This window comes from Homo sapiens, chromosome 1 (assembly GCF_000001405.40).
Source record: "Homo sapiens chromosome 1, GRCh38.p14 Primary Assembly".
NCBI classification, from domain to species: Eukaryota; Metazoa; Chordata; class Mammalia; order Primates; family Hominidae; genus Homo; species Homo sapiens.
Window position 1 is genome coordinate 248,013,306 of NC_000001.11, and position 16,655 is coordinate 248,029,960.

The following is a 16,655-nucleotide window of genomic DNA, read 5'->3' on the forward strand; positions in this document are numbered from 1 at the left end:
AGACACAATTGCATTACCATAATCTGAATAAATATACTTGTTTCTTTCACCACTGAGTTTCCCCTTGACATGCCTTGAAGCATCTAATTACACAATGAGAACTCATTTCTGAACCTTGGACTAAGGCCATCCTCTGTTATTAGTGACTCAGCCTAGAATGTCCAAAGTCTCAGTGGACAATCCCCAGTGAATACCAGCAAAACAACTGTTAATCTCATTCTCCAGGTAAAGAAGGACTGGATCATGGTTTCTATGGAATCCGCATGAAGGTCTCTGAAATCTCATGTGTAGGGATGATCAATGAATGTATACATTTCTTTAAAAACCATTCAGAAATCTTGCTTAGAAAAATGACTTTGTTCATATGATGACTATACGACTGCTGGCAGCCAACAAAGGCAGTGCGTGTTTGAAATTGAGGAGATAATAAAAGGTACTGATTATATTTGTATTTTAAAATTTTTATTGATCATAGGGAAGAAGAGACTCTGGCAAGCGCTTAAGAGAACTTTATTTCAGAAATCGAACTGAAGTTTGAGCACTAGTAATTGTACTTTCTGTTAAGAAAATTCAGCAGAAATTTTGGAGTATAGAATACAGACAACCAAAAGTGTTTTTGCCGCTAATTCATAAATGTGTTTCCCGGATTGGAAGGGAAATGATGATCAATGGAAGAGATAGGGCTAAATTATATTAAACTATGCTTTTTTGGGCTCAAGTGAAATTTAAAAACCCATATTCACAATAATTATCATAGAGGGCAGCATTTCCTCATTTGTACTTGGTTGGTGATTTTTTGGTTTTGGTTTGATTTCTTTTGCCACAAGTGGTGAGTAATTAATTATATGATGCTTATAATAATCTTATTGCTGTTTCTTACTTGCTATTTCACCTCATATGAATCCAGTATTTCCAAGGAAATATGTAGAAACAACTAGTGTTGTTTAAAAGTATTAGGAGGCCATTAAAGTAAAGACAGAATGAGAGTGGTTAAAATTACCAGTCTGTAGAGCAATGATATAGTTTTTAAAATAAAGGACCCTCTTCTGGCAATAAATAATTAAGGAAACCATATGATTAGTAGCTATGCTATGGGTATCCAAATTTTGTTTTTACACCCAATTTGTGACAAATTGTAGTGCTTTGTGCTTTTAAATTTTGCAATATATTTATTTTTTTCTTTTGGTACACAAGGTAAACTTCCAGTGAAATAATAGAAATATTATTTCTGCTTTAAGAACCATGCAGTGGTTTTGTAAGAAGGAAATGAGCATAGTATGTGGAAACAATGTGAAGGCTATATTACTCTACAGTCATAGCAGATAACAAGTGTGTAAATGTAAGTGATAGTGATTATGTTGATGATGCCAGCAATGATAATGATGAAGATGCTGAAACTTGTAGATTCTCTTCAATGATACACCCAGTCAAGTAATACACGGTCACTATGTCACAGACAGCTCCTAATAACCCATGGATTATTCCCCCTGTTGTAATTATAAAATACAGGGTCAGACATTCAGCAACAAAAGCTTACATTTCTAGTAATTGTAAGAGCTAGGATTCCATTTGGTATTAAACCGAGTCTCTTTCCCATGAACTTACACAGTGAAGCAGACTAAGCACATCCTCATCCCAAAATAACAGTCAAAGGATACTTCATACTCACTTTCATAATCACTTTCTGTCTATCCATGAAAATGTCTGTCTGCCCACTTACCTATGTATCTATCTATGAGAGCTGATGCACTATCGTGGACCTCAATGGTAGGTTGTGACTTGGAAGCACACATACACACAAGCAAATATTCACTTTATATTCTTCACTCCTTTACACCTTAAAGAGTTGTGGTTCTCCAAATTCATACCCTTCTCAACAATTAAAAATACATATTGTGTAAATATTAAATAAGATCAGTTATTCCTACGTCAGTTAAACACAACATTATGTACTGTGTCTCTTCTTAGGAGAATCTATTGTGGAGGAACTTGAAGGAAGGAGGAATCTCCTGTAGGATTCCATGCCAGGATGCTGTGGAGAGCCGTCCTTGCCTATACTCCGGAGGACACTCTTCTGTGTCATCTGATTGACATTCTAGACAAGTGTTGTCAATGTGAAATAATTCTTACTATAGACATGCAGATTCAGGTACAGACAGCTTGTTTTAAGGAATTCAGGCTGACTTACGAAGTCAATGACTTCACAGCTGTTCCAGTGAAACTGACCCTGTCACCTGTTTTACCATTTCCTAGCCTTATCTGTTAGTAAGAAAGATCACTTTCTGGAAGTTTCAGAGTTTCAGAACTTTAGGATATTTCAGTTATCCCTTCAGAAGAGAGGAAGCAACCTAGATTTTTGCAAAATCTGGTAAAGTGTGGCTTGGATTTTGGAGGCTTTTAAAAGTTCAATCTGATTTCTTACAAAACTTCCAGCAAAGCCAACTTGTACCCTTATCTCCCTTCCTATTTTTTTGGTAAATTCACACATTTTCTGTGCCTATGCAAATGATCATACCAACTTTAAGAGGAACAGCCATATTTTGTAATGAATAATGATTTCTCTTTGAGAATACTTTTCATCAAAACTGAGGAAAATATAGGGAAAATAAATCAGTGAGTGCCCCAAGGGAAAACTGCAGTATCTAGACACAAGAGAACCATCCTCCTTGGTTCCCAACTCTATCACTAGGTCTCTGTACTGTCATGAATAACGCTCTTCAAATCCTGTGATTCAGCTATTCTTCCTTATGATAATGAGACTATCACTGAAAAATCTTTGTCTTCTATGAATATGTGAATTACTTAAATTAGGCTATTTTAATTAGCTCATATTCAACTCTAAATTGAAGGATAGGAAAAAATCTATGCAATTTAATGATACATTCTGACTTCAAAAGATAGTAATATGTAATTCACTTGCAACTTGGGCACCATTTGTAGAATTGTAATTATTATGCTGAATATGTACATCCTCAACTTGATTTACACAGGAGATTACATGGGTATTTTTTTTGTAAGTGAATTATTCCAACAGATAAACTTTTATGTTGGGAACATGGTGGAAATTGTATTTCTTTTAGATTTTCTGAGAAATCTTCTTTCTTTGAAAATATGTATGATTGTTGCCTGGTCAAGGAAAGTACAATAAAACCAGATAACATGAGGAAACATAAGAAGTTTAAATGATTGAATTTTAGCCATTAAAATAATCTTATTCGTGATATAAAAATCTTATTATTTCTCATTTATTTAGCATCTATAATGATTATGTATTTCAGTAAATTTAACCTCTGTCTTTTATTTTTGTTGTGGGTAATTAAAAAGTGAGTCAGCCTTATTTCAGATGTACTGCCTAAAAATATTTGGATAAACTAGACCACACATTTTTTTAAACGTGTATATAAATGTATATTTATATATGTAACATATATATTTATTTATATGTTTTCATAGATATGTATGTGTGTATATAAACTTATGTATGTATGTGTGTGTTTGTGTAAATATAGGCATATGTGTGTTTGTGTGTGATGTAGAGAAGTTCACTTACAACCCCTGAATCTCAATTTTGTCATCTATAAAATGTCGGTGGTGATGTCAGTGTGAAGAGCTTGTTATTAGGATTAAATCTAATGGAATTATGGAAGAAATCCTGACATATTGCAAGTGCCAGTGTGTGGAGATAGTCAATAAAAGTTCATAATGTTATCGTTCCTTTCATGTATGATGCCTCCCGGGTTGAAGTTTTGCTTTTCCTAATCGCTGTGAAACTATCATCGGAATCTTTTCTCCTTGCTTTTTCATCTTTTGTATGACATCATTAATGCTGATGCCCAGGTATATACATTTTAGAAGAGTTATAAAAATAAAAGCAAGTGGAAGTGTTTTTAAATGGGCTTAAAATATTTACAGCTAATTCTGTGGATAAAAAATTAAGGGGCACAAGTAACCTGTTTGGATTTATTTTTACATAAGAAAAAAATGTCCTCTTCACATTACTGAAACAGATGTATAATGGCTGAGACTGCTTCCTCATTAAAGACAGGGATCTAATTTTATTTAAATAATGTTATATGGTAGAATTAGAACCCTGAAACATGAATAATCAAAGAGATGCTACACTGGTGTTCAAGAGATATCGTAACGTCACAAAATACGTCTCCTGCCACTCACCACTTGCAAAGTCATGTTAACAAGAGCAAGGTCTGGTAGAAAGAGACTTTTTCTTCCAAGCTTAGCTGAGGGGAAGCAGGACAGGCTTCTGCCTTATTGGGAAGTGCTTCCCCTTTCGGGGCAGTAGGCAGGGTCTTTTAATGGGGTCTTGGCGTGAATGACATGCAGGGGGTGAGGAGATGGGGGTCCAGTGATTTTCTTCTGATGTCTTTTCTACCCGGTGGTCTGGCTGGCACCATCGCAGGCAGAGCTGGGTTGTAAATTGAGACAGTCTCCTAGTGGGATGGAGTTCTGGGGTTGCCTGATTTGCTTCGTGATTCCGTCTCTAGAACTTCTAGGTAAACACAATGTCATACAAACTTGCCTTGTAGAATGTGTCTGGTGGGTAGAGTAAAGGATATATTTGCATTCCTAACCAGCTAAGAAGGAGGTGAGGGAGAAGGAAAAAATACATTCGTATCGAGACCATCCTGGCTAACACGGTGAAACCCCGTCTCTACTAAAAGTATATGTATATATAAAAAAAATTAGCCTGGCGTGGTGGTGGGCCCCTGTAATCCCAGCTACTTGGGAGGCTGAGGCAGGAGAATGGCGTGAACCCGGGAGGCGGAGCTTGCAGTGAGCCGAGATCACACCACTGCACTCCAGCCTAGGCGACAGAGCGACTCCATCTCAAAAAAATAAAAAAAAAAATTCGTTATTTTTCTTTTTTAAAAATGAGGTACTCAGTTGCAACATGACAATAAATATGAGATCTGATGTGCCGTCTATTATTCTGTCCTATGTTACTTTTCCTTTTTTAAAAATTAGGATAATAAGTCTCATGGAAAGTTTATCATAGATTGCCCTATATAAAATACAAATGATAGAAATGTTTGGAATGTTGTGTTAGTAATTACAAATAGCACCTATTCTACATGCTAATAATTAAATTACTAATACAAATTACATACTATTGCATCAGTCTTAATGCTGATCTCATACTGTTTCCAAATGACATATATGAAAATAATTTGTTCTTCTATACTGGCCTTCACAAATTACCAGAGGTCATAAAATAATTGCTCTGTAGAGGCTCAGAAACTTGTAGGAATTTTCTTAAAATGTATTTGGAATTCCAAATATGGAATAATTTCAGTACATTTAAATGTTTTTAATTAGAGTAAATATACTTAAGATAAACTGCACCATTTTAACTCTTTTAAGTGTACAGTTCTGTGGCATTAAGGACATTTATGTTGTTGTGCAACCATCACCACCATGCATCTCCAGAACAGTTTCATTTTCTCCAACTAAAATTGTGTTCTCCACACAATTATTCTCCTTGTCTCCCTTCCCCGGTCCCCTGGGGTCCAGCATTCCACTTTATGTCTCTATGAATTTGACTACTCTGGATACTTCATGTAGGAGAATTCATACAATATTTGCCTCTTTGTGGCTTATTTCACTTTGCATAATGTAATCAAAGTTCATCTATGTTGTAGCATGTGTCACAATTTATTTCATGATTAAAATGAATAATAGTCCATGTATGTACTCACTACATTTTTTATTGATTTCTCTGTGGACGGACACTTGTTTCTGCCTTTGGGGTATTGTGATAATACTGCTGTGAATGTGGCCATATAAGTATCTTTCTGAGGGTCTTATTTCTTTGGGTCCACATTCAGAAGTTAAATAGCTGGAGCATATAATAATTCTGTTTAATTTTTGAAGAAATTACTATACAGATGGTCCAGAAATACAATATTTTGATGATTTTTTGACTTTAATATGCATTTATAGGAACATATAATCCTATTGTAAGTCAAGGAGCATCTGGAATTACAATGGTTTGACTTACAATATTTTAACATTGAGATGACTTTTTCAGGATAGTAAATGTATATTTTACTTACAATATTTTCAACTCATAATGGGTTTATCAGGATGAAACCCATCATAAATCGAGAAGCCTCTCAATCATTTTCCACAGAGGCTGTAGAACTTCATTTTGGCACTGACTATACTTTTATGGTTTTAGCTCTTACACTTAGGTCTTTGATTTAGTTTGAATTAATTTTTCTATATGGTGTAAAGTAAGCATCCAATTTCATATTTTGAATGTAGTTATCCAGTTTTTCAAACACTGTTTATTGAAAACACCGTCCCTTCCCAACTGAGTAAACTCAGTTTCGTTTCCAAAAAATATATTGCTGTTTATAGGAGAGTCTATTTCCTGACTCTATTTTCCTCCTCGTCCTCCTCCTCCTTCCTTCCTTCTCCTTCTCCTTCTCCTTCTTCTTCTTCTTTGTCTTGTTCTGCTTCTTTCTTCTTCTTCTTGTTTGAGACACGGTCTCACTCTGTCACCCAAGTGGGAATGTGGGGCTACAATCTTGGCTCACTGCAACCTCGGCCTCCTGGGCTCAAGCAATCCTCCCACCTCAGCCTCCCCAAGTAGCTGGGACTACTGGTGCGAGCCACCACCCCTGGCTAATTTTTGTATTTTTTGTAGAAACAGGATTTTTCCATTTTGGTTGGTCTCAATGTTCTGAGCTCAAGCAGTCTGCCTGCCTCAGGCTCCCAGAGTGCTGGGATTACAGGTGTGAACAAACGCACCTGACCTCTCCTTTCTTCTATTGGTATACATGTCTGGCTTTATACCAATGCCATACTGTTTTGATTACCATAGCTTTTGGAACTGGAACAAGACAAGGATGCCCACTCTCACCACTCCTCTTCCACATAGTACTGGAAGTCCTAGCCAGAGCAGTCAGACAAGAGAAAGAAATAAAGAGCATCCAAATTGGTAATGAGGAAGTAAAACTGTCGCTGTTTGCTGATGCTATGATTGTTTACCTAGAAAACCCTAAAGACTCCTCCAGAAAACTCCTAGAACTAAAAAAGGAATTCAGCCAAGTTTCATGACACAAAATTAATTTACATAAATCAGCAGTTCTATTCACCAACAGCAGCCAAGCAGAGATTCTAAGCATTAGGGAAGCAAAGACACAGAATACACATCCTGCTGGCAAGAGCTTGAGCAGAAACATGGAAGCTAAAATGAAATTGGCATATGGATATTCAGATATCTATATCTGGGGTCCACAGTAACTGGAGAATTGTGAAACTGAATGAGGAGGCAAAAGAGAATGAACATTTAATGGTGGCAGACATTAAAAACCAAGACTGTGAGTTACATTTTGTGAAAAGGATACTTAAAATAATAATTCATTCTACATTTTTAGATAGAAGAACCAAATAATGATGTCTGACTTAGAGAAAGTTTGACTTGGAATTATTATTTTTTTATATAACTTTCATTTATTTCATTTCATTTTATTATTATTTTATTTTTTATTATACTTTAACTTTTAGGGTACATGTGCACAACATGCTTTGCATAATAATTCCAAGTCACATATGTATATATGGGACCAACATGGCACATGTATACATATGTGACTTGGAATTATTATGCAAAGACAATTCAAGAAGGAAATATAAGTTCCTCCAAATAAGTCACAGGCTGCTGCAGCTTTAGAAGTAAGTGTTACACAATAAATGTAGAAAAAAATCATCCAGAAAACATAATGCTAATTTATTCCTAATAAGATCCATAATATATGCATTTAACTTTTCCATGCATTTGTTTTAAGCATAACATATGATCTTGATTACATCTGAGTTTGTGTTGGGCATCAAACATTCCTATCCTTTTGAAGTTGTAAGACAGATGATTTTTCCTATAAATGTATATATTTCTTAGAAAAAATTTTGGTTATAAATATTTGTCTCATCAAATATTAATCTCTGGATAGAGAATACGATTTTTTTTCTAATTTGGAAAGATTAGTCATCTAAGAGTTATAAAGTTGTATAAATAATTCACAGTCTAACTAAACTAAGGATTTTTAAAAACAATTGGCTTACTATTCTATAAGTAGTCCCCTCTTATCCACTGTTTTGCTTTCCATAGTTTCTCCTGTGATCAACTGCAGTCTGAAAATATTGGGTGGAAAATGCCACAAATGAACACTTCATAAATTATCAGTTGGATTTCAGTCATAGCCCAATGTTGCATCATAGTGCCTACATTGTTCCCTTCACTTTATTTCATCATGTAGACATTTTGTCTTCCCATGAAGCATTTTGTCATCACAAGAAAAATGAGTACAGTACAACGAGGTATTTTGAGAAAAAGAAAAAGATAGAAACTGCATTTGCATAACTTTTATTAGAGTATATAGTTATAATTGTTCTATTTTATTTGCAGCTATTTTTGTTAATTTCTTCCTTGTCTAATTTATAAATTAAAATTTATAATACATATTGATGGATATAAAAAATAGTGTATATAGGGTTCAGTGTCAACTGCAATTTCAGGCATTCACTGGAGGCCTTGGAATGCAACCCCTGCAGATAATGGGGAACTACTGTACTTGACTTACCCTTGTGTCTCCCTTCAGGAAGGATCGTATGAATGCCCCATGGAAAATTACAATCAAACGTCAACTGATTTCATCTTATTGGGGCTGTTCCCACCATCAAAAATTGGCCTTTTCCTCTTCATTCTCTTTGTTCTCATTTTCCTAATGGCTCTAATTGGAAACCTATCCATGATTCTTCTCATCTTCTTGGACACCCATCTCCACACACCCATGTATTTCCTGCTTAGTCAGCTCTCCCTCATTGACCTAAATTACATCTCTACGATTGTTCCTAAGATGGCTTCTGATTTTCTGTATGGAAACAAGTCTATCTCCTTCATTGGGTGTGGGATTCAGAGTTTCTTCTTCATGACTTTTGCAGGTGCAGAAGCGCTGCTCCTGACATCAATGGCCTATGATCGTTATGTGGCCATTTGCTTTCCTCTCCACTATCCCATCCGTATGAGCAAAAGAATGTATGTGCTGATGATAACAGGATCTTGGATGATAGGCTCCATCAACTCTTGTGCTCACACAGTATATGCATTCCGTATCCCATATTGCAAGTCCAGAGCCATCAATCATTTTTTCTGTGATGTTCCAGCTATGTTGACATTAGCCTGTACAGACACCTGGGTCTATGAGTACACAGTGTTTTTGAGCAGCACCATCTTTCTTGTGTTTCCCTTCACTGGCATTGCGTGTTCCTATGGCTGGGTTCTCCTTGCTGTCTACCGCATGCACTCTGCAGAAGGGAGGAAAAAGGCCTATTCGACCTGCAGCACCCACCTCACTGTAGTAACTTTCTACTATGCACCCTTTGCTTATACCTATCTATGTCCAAGATCCCTGCGATCTCTGACAGAGGACAAGGTTCTGGCTGTTTTCTACACCATCCTCACCCCAATGCTCAACCCCATCATCTACAGCCTGAGAAACAAGGAGGTGATGGGGGCCCTGACACGAGTGATTCAGAATATCTTCTCGGTGAAAATGTAGACATACGTTCTGTGTTAGAGTCAAAGCGCTAGGTTCATATCAACTCAGCAGTGTACAGCAGTGAAGAAAAACATTATTACATGCCCAGTATGTCAAACAGAGATTAATCCAGAATGTTTGTCTTTTAATTTAGTCTTGACATTATAGTTGCATATTCTAAGACATCTATTTTGTTTCTGTTTGTGTTTCTTTTTATCAAAAGACAGATCATATATTTTACACTAAATTGTAAGGCCATAGAATTTCATTATCATGTATAAATCAAAACAATAAATGTCCAAAGGAATCATATCATTCAGCATAATAGTTATATGTTAATTGTTTCCCATTATTATTAAAATAAGACAAAATAACAAATTATTTAAGATTACTGAATCTAATTGAATATTAAATAATATTTTATTTACTCTCAACTGGTGTGTATGTGTTCCTCTTTTTGCTAAAGTAATGATTTATTAATAAATTTACCTCAGGATAAATAAGTATGTCTGGGGTGAAGCCAATTTGCCTTTAGTAAAACAACAATTTCTTTATAAAAGATTCTATGGAATTTACCTTCTATAGAACCTCTTAGACTACAGTTGACTTAGACTTAGTTGAATGTGGAGTAGGTTATTTGAACCATTCCCCAGTCACATCACAACACACACAATGTTTGTCTCCTGAGTAGCCACGGGTATTCTCATGCAAGACGTTCTCTTCTGAACAATTTTTTTCTACTTACTCTTCAAAATCAGCAAGTCTATACATCTTGGATTGGGATCAACTCCTCTGCTCCACTATTTTTATACCTGCTTAGGCCTGTGCCTAGAAGGATCAACATTATTTTTATAAAAGTTGTCAGCTTAGGTCCATTCTCTGAGTGAAAGGCCATGGCTCTCCACAAGAGCCCATTCCTGAGAAACGCTTTAGTCTCTGAGGAGAGGAGGCAAGAAGGAAGGTAGAATGAACAAGTAAGAGAAAAGCCCTGCATTATACAACTTTCCATAATGTAACATTTTTCTATAACTATTTTTCTAAAGTTCTTTCTGTTGCTCTCAAATAGAATAATCTTCACTCTGGAAATATAATTAAAGTGCATAAAAACTATTTATCTGAAGAATAACATCATGTGATCAGAAAATATATTTTTATTTTTATTTGTTATTAATTTTATTTGTTTATTTTGTTTATTTTTTATGGGGGTTCTGGCATATGTGAGCAGAACGTGCAGGTTTGTTACACAGGTATACATGTGCCGTTGTGGTTTGCTGCACCAATAAACCCGTCATCTAAGTTTTAAGCCCCATATGCTTTAGGTATTTGTCCTAATGCTCTCCCTCCCCTTGCCCAAGAATTTGTAATGATAGCCATTAAAATCCCAATGTAGAAAATTTTATATCTGATTTGAAAAAACACTGTAGGTTTTAATATTATGTGTTTAAAATGCTATTATAGCAATGTAAAATAAAAAAGATGATAGAGTAAAATGACTGTAAAATTCAAGGAAATATGCATTCAATATTTACAACATTGAACTTATCTTTTCATTGTAAATAATATAAAACTACATTTTGTCTTTACTTGTATAAAATGCATTTTTATTAAAATACACTGTGTATCCATTAAAAATCATTTGGCCTAGGTTTTCTTCTAGGGTTTTTATGGTTTTAGGTCTAACGTTTAAGTCTTTAATCCATCTTGAATTAATTTTTGTATAAGGTGTAAGGAAGGGATCCAGTTTCAGCTTTCTACATATGGCTAGCCAGTTTTCCCAGCACCATTGATTAAATAGGGAATCCTTTCCCCATTGCTTGTTTTTCTCAGGTTTGTCAAAGATCAGATAGTTGTAGATATGTGGTGTTATTTCTGAGGGCTCTGCTCTGTTCCATTGATCTATATCTCTGTTTTGATACCAGTACCACGCTGTTTTGGTTACTATAGCCTTGTAGTATAGTTTGAAGTCAGGTAGTGTGATGCCCCCAGCTTTGTTCTTTTGGCTTAGGATTGACTTGGCGATGCGGGCTCTTTTTTGGTTCCATATGAACTTTAAGGTAGTTTTTTCCAATTCTGTGAAGAAAGTCATTGGTAGCTTGATGGGGTTGGCATTGAATCTATAAATTACCTTTTGCAGTATGGCCATTTTCATTACCATTCAGGACATAGGCATGGGCAAGGACTTCATGTCTAAAACACCAAAAGCAATGGCAACAAAAGACAAAATTGACAAATGGGATCCAATTAAACTAAAGAGCTTCTGCACAGCAAAAGAAACTACCATCAGAGTGAACAGGCAACCTACAAAATGGGAGAAAATTTTCGCAACCTACTCATCTGACAAAGGGCTAATATCCAGAATCTACAATGAACTCAAACAAATTTACAAGAAAAAAACAAACAACCCCATCAAAAAGTGGGTGAAGGACATGAACAGACACTTCTCAAAAGAAGACATTTATGCAGCCAAAAAACACATGAAAAAATGCTCACCATCACTGGCCATCAGAGAAATGCAAATCAAAACCACAATGAGATACCATCTCACACCAGTTAGAATGGCAATCATTAAAAAGTCAGAAAACAACAAGTGCTGGAGAGGATGTGGAGAAATAGGAACACTTTTACACTGTTGGTGGGACTGTAAACTAGTTCAACCCTTGTGGAAGTCAGTGTGGCGATTCCTCAGGGATCTAGAACTAGAAATACCATTTGACCCAGCCATCCCATTACTGGGTATATACCCAAATGACTATAAATCATGCTGCTATAAAGACACATGCACATGTATGTTTATCGCGGCACTATTCACAATAGCAAAGACTTGGAACCAACCCAAATGTCCAACAATGATAGACTGGATTAAGAAAATGTGGCACATATACACCATGGAATACTATGCAGCCATAAAAAAGGATGAGTTCATGTCCTTTGTAGGGACATGGGTGAAATTGGAAATCATTATTCTCAGTAAACTATCGCAAGAACAAAAAACCAAACACCGCATATTCTTACTCATAGGTGGGAATTGAACAATGAGAACACATGGACATAGGAAGGGGAACATCACACTCTGGGGACTGTTGTGAGGTGGGGGGAGGGGGGAAGGATAGCATAGGAGATATACCTAATGCTAAATGAGGAGTTAATGAGTGCAGCACACCAGCATAGCACATGTATACATATGTAACTAATCTGCACATTGTGCACATGTACCCTATAACTTAAAGTATAATAATAAAAAAAGAAAAATCATTTGGCAAATATAAGTGTGTCTATGTAAAAAGTAGAATATAAATATGTTTACCTCCACAAATCTAGCATTGTTTTAAAAAGAAAAGCCCTGGATTATTCAAACTACAACAGTGATGAATGCCTGATCTGCAGTTGACCCTTGAACAACGCGGACTTGAACTGTGCAGTCCACTTATGTGTGGATTTCCTTCTGCCTTCACCACTCCTGAGACAGCAAGACCAACCTCTCCTCCTCTTAGAAGGTCATTCAAAGGTCCTGCATGTTGCAGATGTTTTTACATGGAACTTTCCTGGAGAGAATCCCAAGTATGGTTCACGTTGGTTCTCTCAAGCTGGGAAAAACTGGAAATGATTATGTTGCTATGATTGTAGCCTTCCAGTGAAAGTCCCATTTCTTTCTGTCCTTCAATCCAGACTGGCTTTCAGACACAAAAAGAAAAATACTGCATGATCTCACTTATATATTGGTGTTGCGGGAAGTCAGGACCCCGAATGGAGGGACCGGCTGAAGCCATGGCAGAAGAACATAAATTGTGAAGATTTCATGGACATTTATTTGTTCCCCAAATTAATACTTTTATAATTTCTTACCCCTGTCTTTACTGTAATCTCTGAACATAAACGGTGAAGATTTCATGGACACTTATCACTTCCCCAATCAATACGCTTGTGATTTCCTATGCCTGTCTTTACTTTAATCTCTTAATCCCATCATCTTCATAAACTGAGGAGGATGTATGTCACCTCAGGACCCTGTGATGATTGCATTAACTGCACAAATTGTTTGTAGTGCATGTGTGTTTGAACAATATGAAATCTGGGCACCTTGAAAAAAGAACAGGATAACAGCAATGTTCAGGGAACAAGGGAGATAACCTTAAACTCTGGCTGCCTGTGAGCTGGGTGGAACAGAGCCATATTTCTCTTCTTTCAAAAGCAAATAGGAGAAATATCGCTGAATTCTTTTTCTCAGCAAGGAACAGCCCTGAGAAAGAGAATGAGTTCCTAGGGGGCGGCCTCTAAAATGGCCACTTTGGGGATGGCTGTCTTTTACAGTCATAGATAAGGGACGAAATAAGCCCCAGTCTCCTGTAGTGCTCCCAGGCTTATTAGGACAAGGAAATTCCTGCCTAATAAATTTTGTTCAGACCGGTTGTCTGCTCTCAAACCCTGTCTCCTGAGAAGATGTTATCAATGACAATGTGTGCCCAAAACTTCATTAGCAATTTTAATTTCGCCCCAGTCCTGTGGTCCCGTGATCTCGCCCTGCCTCCATTTGCCTTGTGATATTTTATTACCTTGTGAAGCATGTGATCTCTGTGACCCACACCCTATTTGTACACTTCCTCCCCTTTTGAAAATCGCTAATAAAAACTTGCTGGTTTTACAGTTCGGGGGCACCACGGAACCTGCCAACATGTGATGTCTCCCCCGGACACCCAGCTTTAAAATTTCTCTCTTTGTCCTCTGTCCCTTTATTTCTCAGACCAGCGGACACTTAGGGAAAATAGAAAAGGACCCATGTGAAATATTGGGGGCTGAATTTCCCCTGATATATTGGGCCTAAAAATAAACAGAATACAAAGAAACAGAGAGTAGAATGGTGATTACTCAAAGTTAACTTGTCTGAGAAACTGACTCAGTGCAGGATGCAGCATCTTCATCTCCCTGTCTCATGACTTCACCACTCACGCCTCGACCAATCAGCAATCCCCACACTTTAGCCCATCACCCATGCAGACTCCCTAAAAACATGTCCACACCTGTGATCCCAGCACTTTGGGAGGCTGAGGTGGGTGGATCACGAGGTCAGGAGATCAAGACCATCCTGGCTAACACAGTGAAACCCCGTCTCTACTAAAAATACAAAAAAATTAGCTGGGCGTGGTTGTGGGTGCCTTTAGTCTCAGCTACTCAGGAGGCTGAGGCAGGAGAATGGCATGAACCCAGGAGGCTGAGCTTGCAGTGAGCCGAGATCACGCCACTGCACTCTAGCCTGAGCGACAGAGCGAGATTCCGTCTCAAAAAAAAAAAAAAAAAAAAAAAAAAAAATCATGTCCAAGTCTCTCCAGAAGGCTGATTTGAGGCTTCCTGTCTCTTCCTCCTTCAGCTGACCTATGATTAACAAACCCTTTCTCTGCTGCAATTCCTGCTGTTTTGGTGTTTTGGTCTGCTACCACTCCATGGGCAATGGAACCCTGTGGCCCTGTAACAATCCACCTGCCTCAGTCTCCCAGTAGGTGGAATTACAGGCCTGTGCCAACATCCCTTGCTCTTTAACAAAAGATTTGACATAAATGGTTATCACCTGAATTTTGTCTCTTTGGGAAATAGAATGGAGCTTCTTTATAAGTGAATATGATTATGCATTTAAAAATCTGTTTGACTTAATGAATAATTCAAATGGACTGAATACAGACATGGAAAAATGTAAAATAAGCAGCTCAGTTTTATTTATATTTCTTATTCTAATCTCTTCTTTCAGAATAAAACAAGTTGTGGCCTACGATCTGCTTAGTTTCATCGTTTCTACTGCAGAAGTGTGAAATAGTCAATTTCTACGTCCAGGAAACTCTCAGGAGATCTGGGATATGTATTTCAGGAATAAGTTGTTGACTCATATCCCCCATATTTGCATATGTGATGTGACCCTGGTGGGTAGTTTTGAGGTAAACCTAAAAGTCTTCCTTGTTTTACAGAAATTCCCTTGAAGTCTATCTTCCCACATCAAATAAGGAGTCTTACCTCCTCTTTCAGCACATATAGGTTTTGAGTTTAACAAAACTGTGAAAACAGTACCGTGGTTGCACTAGACATGGCGCATACTATTATGTAACAGCCAAGGTTTTAAACTTGCAAAAAAATTCTTCGACTTTTCAAATGCAGGAATATTGAAACATCGGTACACTTGGACTTTCAGGAAATTGTCCTTGCCAGGAATGTACACTAACTACCCCGACTGGATCATTATACAACATATATATGCATCAGTACATCAGATTGGCTGGTCCAAGTGTAGTGGTGTTTACAACTAATTGATCACAACCAGTTAGAGGTTTCTTGGTTTCTTCTCCACTCCCACTGCTTCATCTGACTAGCCTATACATATCAAAATATATATCACAATAAATATAAATAAAAATACATATCATAATGTGTCAAATAATTTAACAATTTAAATACATGTGGAAAAATTCAAATACTTTTAAAACTCAACAAAATTAAAAATGAAGAAATATTACTTTTCTCAGGTAGATTGTATCATTAATTCATTTAGTAAGAAAATAAGAAATTTGAGAACATTTAAAGCACTCTACTGAATAAAAATTTAATTAAATTACTATTTTCTAAATATTAATAAACCAAAGAGAGTAATAACAACATTTTATTATCTGTTTTAATAGGAGAAAAATCACTGTATAATTTACTGAGCATTTCCAAATACAAAGAACCAGTGTGAACATATATAATACCTAAAATATGTTAAAAGATAACTCCCATGTATGTGATAGCTTAATAATTTCTACTTATGTGGTTTTATTAAATTAACCTCGTTCTATTTTAGTGGCTTAAATCTTGTTGCCAATATAAATTGAACTCAGAAAGAAATTAATGTATGCAGATTCATTATTACTGTGGATGCCTAAATAACAACATTCAAACTATAGGGTTTCATAAAGTTTAGAAACACGAAAACATTGACATAATGTGAATAAATATGTTTGTTTCTTCCTCCATTGAATTTACCCTTGACATGCCTTGAAACATCTAAATACATAATCAGAACTCATTTCTGAACCTTGAATTAAGGCCATCCTCTGTTGTTAGTGACTCAACCTAGAA

General features: G+C 36.4%; 2 protein-coding genes across 3 annotated transcripts in view; both read left to right on the top strand.

Moving 5' to 3' along the window:
- Nucleotides 1-16,655, top strand: part of OR2L13 (olfactory receptor family 2 subfamily L member 13) — a 163,987-nt gene that overhangs the window by 76,129 nt on the left and 71,203 nt on the right. The gene's annotated exons all lie outside the window — the stretch shown is intronic.
- OR2L5 (olfactory receptor family 2 subfamily L member 5) lies at nt 355-10,971 on the top strand. Its single transcript, NM_001258284.2, has 2 exons — nt 355-433; nt 8,622-10,971. The coding sequence occupies exon 2, from the start codon at nt 8,643-8,645 to the stop codon at nt 9,579-9,581; it is 939 nt and encodes a 312-aa protein (NP_001245213.1). The 5' UTR covers nt 355-433; nt 8,622-8,642; the 3' UTR covers nt 9,582-10,971.

Bases quoted from the DNA above. Each gene is read 5' to 3' on its own strand.
- OR2L5 (NM_001258284.2), top strand. From the start codon at position 8,643: ATGGAAAATTACAATCAAACGTCAACTGATTTCATCTTATTGGGGCTG.